The 5,309-nt window shown below is 52.5% G+C and overlaps 1 long non-coding RNA gene across 1 annotated transcript; it reads right to left on the bottom strand.

The window, feature by feature from the left end:
- On the bottom strand, positions 3,034–5,086 carry LOC101928087 (uncharacterized). Its single transcript, NR_134305.1, has 2 exons — positions 4,794–5,086; positions 3,034–3,243 (listed from the first exon to the last, which is right to left on the bottom strand). It is a non-coding gene; the product is annotated as an uncharacterized LOC101928087 (long non-coding RNA).
- Between the last annotated feature and the right edge of the window lie 223 nt (positions 5,087–5,309).

Here is a 5,309-nt window from a genome sequence, read left to right as displayed (position 1 = left end):
CTGGCCTCATGTTTGTCTACACAGCCCCTGTACAGGGTTCCTGACCTGTGGTAAGTAAAGAATGTCACTTTCTGACAGGCCCACCAGCCCCAAGTTTTATCTTGGAACCTCAAGAGAAGAGGATCCCCCAACTCATAGATATTTGGTGATATGAATCCATGGCTGCACTCAGCTTTAAAAAAGTCTTATTTGAGACAGAGTTCCATCAAAGCCAATTTAAAAGCCTATGTAGGCTGGGCATGGTGGCTCATGCCTGTAATCCCAGCACTTTGGGAGGCCGAAGTGGGTGGATCACCTGAGGTCAGGAGTTGGAGATGAGCCTGGCCAACATGGTAAAACCCCATCTCTACTAAAAATACAAAAATTAGCCAGGTGTGGTGGCATGCACCTGTAATCCCAGGTACTCAGGAGGCTGAGGCAGGAGAATCACTTGAACCTGGGTGGCGGAAGTTGCAGTGAGCTGAGTTCATGTCAGTGCACTCCAGCCTGGGTGACAAAGGAAAACTCCATCAAAAAAAAAAGCCTATGTAAAAAATAATTATTCTTGCTGCACTGAATACAAATAATTAGGCCAAGTATAATAAAGCAAACTAGTCCTGCCATGATTTGTGTTTATTAAAAATGGGAAACTGGAGAAAGAAAAATTATGGGCAAAACCTATAATACACCTGTTGTTAGACTCTAGTCTTACCTAATGTTTTACAATTTTTATTATTTTCTACAGTTTTGACTGAATTCTAATTTTTCTTGGCTACAACGCTTCAAAATAATGTTTTCGATTTTTTCTTCTGTATTTTCCCCCCATTTTTCCTGATTTGGAGTCACTGAAAACTAAGCTGTGCTTTCATAAAGCCCTGTGAACTGAAGCCAGGCAACTTAAACTTCAGAAGAAAACAACAGCAACTATTTACGCCACTTTCATACCTGCCTACTAATGTATGGGCTTCAGAGTAATGTGGCCTATATTGATTTTTCCCAGATTGTTCTTTTGTTTGTTGTTGTTTTTCTCCCTTCTTCCCCCTATTTTCTTTTCATAGGACAAGAGATTTCACAACCTTCTAAAAATGAGCTTTTCTAATAATTCCGGACCTAACTGTACAGGAATAAAACATCCTAGCCATGAAAGACCAGACAAAAACCTGAGACCAGAGACTCATTTTCTTCTAAGATGCTTTCTCCAAAAGATTTTAAAAAAGAAAAGGGGGAAAATGTGAAAGGAACATATCTTGGGGCCCCAAAATCACTAAGCTAAAAGGAAAAGTCAAGCTGGGAACTGCTTCGGGCAAACCTGCCTCCCATTTTATTCAAAGTCATCCCTCTGCTCACTGAGATAGATGCATATCTGATTGCCTCCTTTGGAAAGGCTAATCAGAAACTCAAAAGAATGTAACCATTTGTCTATTATCTACCTAAGACCTGGAAGTCCCCTCCCTGCTTCCAGTTGTCCCGCCTTTCCAGACCGAACCAATGTTCATCTTGCACATGTTGGTTGATGTCTCATGTCTCCCTAAAATGTATAAAACCAAACTGTGGTCTGACCACCTTGGGCACATGTCGTCAGGACCTCCTGAGCCTGTATCATGGGTGTGTGTCCTCAACCTTGGCAAAATAAACTTTCTAAATTAACTGAGACCTGTCTCAGGTTTTTGAGGTTCACAATTAATAGTCAATGACATGAGAGAGAAGCCCTCCTCCTCTCCCGGTTGTGGACCTTTCTGTATTATCTTGCACCCAACTCAGACCAGAAGGCACAGAAGACCCCATGACTCTTCTACCCTCTGTGTTCAATATGCCTCTCCCGAAAGGAACACAGCCCCACCTAACTGGATGTGTGGGCCTGTGTGGACAGTGTTGAAGCCCCACTAAGCTTCCCAGACGTTATCTATATAAATGACCCCTAAACCTCTCCACTTGGGAGCACCAACTTCCATTCTTTGGAATCTGTGTACCCAGGTGGCCTTTCTCAAGCATTGTGTGCAAATAAATTACATTTAACCATATTCCATATTTCCTGATCTTTTTAAGGTTGACAGGAGCCACCGGCACCCTCACGTAGCCGCATCGTCACCCTAGACAAGCTGACTGCAGGCTTGGCTCAGAGGTCAGCTCTGCTGGACACAGGGAGGGGCAGGCAGAGGCTGGGTCTGATGTGCAGCTGCAGGGCCAGTGGAAAGGGGCTGCCTCACGAGGAACTGTTTTCTCCCCACTTCCCTTCTGAGGTCCTGGGATGAGCCTTGAGCAGATGCCCCCATTCCACCAGCCTCCCCTTCTTCTCACACCCATTTCTCTTCCTCCTGCCCAGGTCTCAGATGCCAAAGGCTTTGCTGCCTGCAGAGGGCAGGGGAGGTGTCCAGGGCTTTGCAGGCCATAAGGATGGCCCAGATGCCGGCCCTTCCCTGGGTGGGAGAGCCACCTGCCCACCTTTCCCCAAGGCTACTGCCCAGGCTCTCCCTTGGCTGGCAGCCTCCTCCCAGACACGAGTGGGCCAGGTGGTCCTCTCTCTTAAGGGGGTGGCCAAAGCCCAGATCTTGCCCATGTGGTGCTGCAGTTCCCCTGGGGTCCCTGAGGGAAGCCAGGGACTCTGTGGGCTCCAAGCCCTGGGCTTGGATGCCATGCCGTCCTTACAGCCATCTGCAGGGCAGGAAGGCCTGGCCAGGCTGGGGATGGGGAGAAATCTGGACTTGGGGGTGGTGGTGGCAGCTGCTGTCACCTCTTCATTGCAGGTGGGGGCTGAGCTCAGTGGGCAGGGGCCGCTGAAGACACACAGCTAGGGAGAGGGGACGCTAGAACTGAGCCCAAATCTGTGGGACCAGGAGCTGGGTTCATCCTCCCGTGACCCTGACTCTTGGTGAGGAGACACCCTGAACTGGGCAGGGTGGCAACCATGACAGGCATGGGGAGGTGGCAGGTCCCCAGGCTCACCTGCTCCTTTGCACAGAGGGGCCTCTGGCCTGTGGACAGGGTTGCCCTCCCAAGGCTCAGCCCTGCCACCTGCAACCCACTTTACCCAGAATAAGTAAGTAACACTGCCCATTTTTCAGGGCAATAAATTTTAATAAAGAGTTGTATTTTCCCCTGCAAGACACAGTGTGAAGGCTGTCTCTTCAGTGACAGGGTTCACTGCAACTCAGTCTCACTTCCATCATGAGCTGTCTCATGAGGTCTCTCATAAACCTCTCTCTCTCTCTCTCTCCCTGGTTCCAAAAATGAAGCCGCCAGCTCTCACCGTACCTTGCTGTTGAACTGAATGACAGACATTATTCAAAACCCCCACCCCAGGGCTCAAGATTAGGGGAGCAGGACAGAATTCAGGGCAGCTTCTAAGAGGGAGGAGCCCCAGCTGGGAGGCCTTGGAGGATTCTTGTGTGACAGGGGGCATACCGGGGGTCTCTGAGGCCCCTCATGGGTGCTGAATGCTCTGGCCTCCCCAGGGCTCAGCCCAGCCCCTGCTCTGTGGGACCCTGGGGCCAGGGTCTCCCTCTGGCAAGTGGTCTCAGGCCTTCTGCCCACCACCCTTGCCAGTGGCCTCATCACAGTTTATTCCTAAAACCAGAGTCTGCTCCTCACTGGACCTAAAGCCTCAAACTTCAGCACCCCTCCCGTGCCCCATGACCCCTTCAGCCTACACACAAGCTTTCTGTTTGTGGTGGGGTCCCTGCCCCTCACAGAGGGTCACCAATGAGGGTCGCTTATGTAAGAGCAGGGCTGTGTCCACGGCTTGCAAAGGACAGAAGTCGAAAGAACTGCTTTATTGCAGCTCAACAAGGGCTTATGGGGGTTTCTTACTGACTGAATTTTATTTGCTGACATTAAATGGTGCAGTGGGCTGGTGAGCCTGGCTTCCCGGTTCATAAATGGGATCAAAATGTCACTATGATTCCGTTAAAACCTTTAAAAAGGATGGTTGTGTCACCCAGATCTAGTTTGTAAACCTGCTCCAGCTGCTGTGTGTCTCTTGGGGCCAAGTGGCCCGCCCTGTCCTCCCTTTTCTCTGCTGGTGCTGGCCCTCCATCCCCAGTCTGCTGCTCCACCATGAGCGCTGGGCTGAGCCAGTGTTGAAGCTGTAGACATAAATCTATAGGCCGTTTGAGTATTGAAAACCAAGCAGTGCTGAGTGGAAGAAGCCTGTCTGTCCATCCACCCATTCCCCTGTCTGTCTGTCCACCCATCCGGCTGTCCATCTGTCCACCCATCTGCCTGTCTGTCTGTCACCCATCCCCCTGTCCGTCCATCCACCTATCCCCCTGTCCGTCCATCCACCCATCTGCCTGTCCGTACATCCATCCATCCCCCTGTCCGTCCATCCACCCATCTGCCTGTCTGTCCATCCACCTGTCCCCCTGTCAGTCCATCCACCCATCTGCCTGTCCGTTCAGCACCCATACACCTGTCCATCTGGCACTCTGGCCCTTACTGGCTGGCCTGCTGTGACTGCTCCCTCCTGGACCTACTGGGCCAGGTCTCCCCACTCCACAGGAAGTGGGGCCAGGCCTCTTCCTGGTGATCTCAGTACCAGAGTTCACAATGTGCTCCTTGTCAGTCTCCCCCTGACTTCATACCCGCTTTGCCTGACATCCCCACTTTAGAGGTGGAGGATAGGGTCCCTGAGAGGGGGAGCAGATTGGTGGGGCTGCAGGTGTGAATGACCCTCGGAGCAGGCCAGCTGAGATCCTGGTTCCTCCCCTAGTGTGTGGAGCCCTCCTCTCCTGCTGTCTGGATTCGGACTCTGCTCCCTGGGGCCCAGGGCTCCTGCACCCTTCTTCAGGGCAGCCTGTGACGGAGGGTCTTCTCACCTCATTCCAGAGTGGGGCTGAGGCCTGGAGGAGCGGGTCCCGTGTTCGCTCTCCTGGGAACCCATTGTAGAGGTGGGCAGTTCGGCCTCCTAACTCACTCATGGTCCACCCACTGCCTGCCAAATGCCACAAGGGCCGCAGCAAGACTGAGCCCCAGAAAGTGTCTGAGCTGGAGAAAAAGCTGTGGGGCCTCGGGGTGGGTTCAGGGCCTTTCGGTCACGAAGCCACTGCCCAGGGCCTCAGCCACATGGCCACTGGGGTCATGGCCACCGGGGGACGCTTCCTGTGAAGCGACTCACCTCCCCAGACAGCCAGGACGTTTCCGGAGTCAGCGTTCTCTCTCGGCACCCCATTGGTCTGCACAGACGTTTCCGTTTCCGGCGCCACGTTCTCTCCCGGCACCCCCTTGGTCCCCACAGCTCAGCATGACTGATGTGTTTCCAGAGCCGTCAGCCCAGGTGGGCTCTCTAGGCTCAGCCCATCTCCGCTCCAGGAATTAGGCATCCTTGGCCCCCA

The sequence above is a fragment of the Homo sapiens genome, chromosome 8, assembly GCF_000001405.40.
Source record: "Homo sapiens chromosome 8, GRCh38.p14 Primary Assembly".
Classification (NCBI taxonomy): domain Eukaryota; kingdom Metazoa; phylum Chordata; class Mammalia; order Primates; family Hominidae; genus Homo; species Homo sapiens.
The sequence above is the reverse complement of the archived record's forward strand: the minus strand, read 5'-3'. Positions and strand labels throughout refer to the sequence as shown.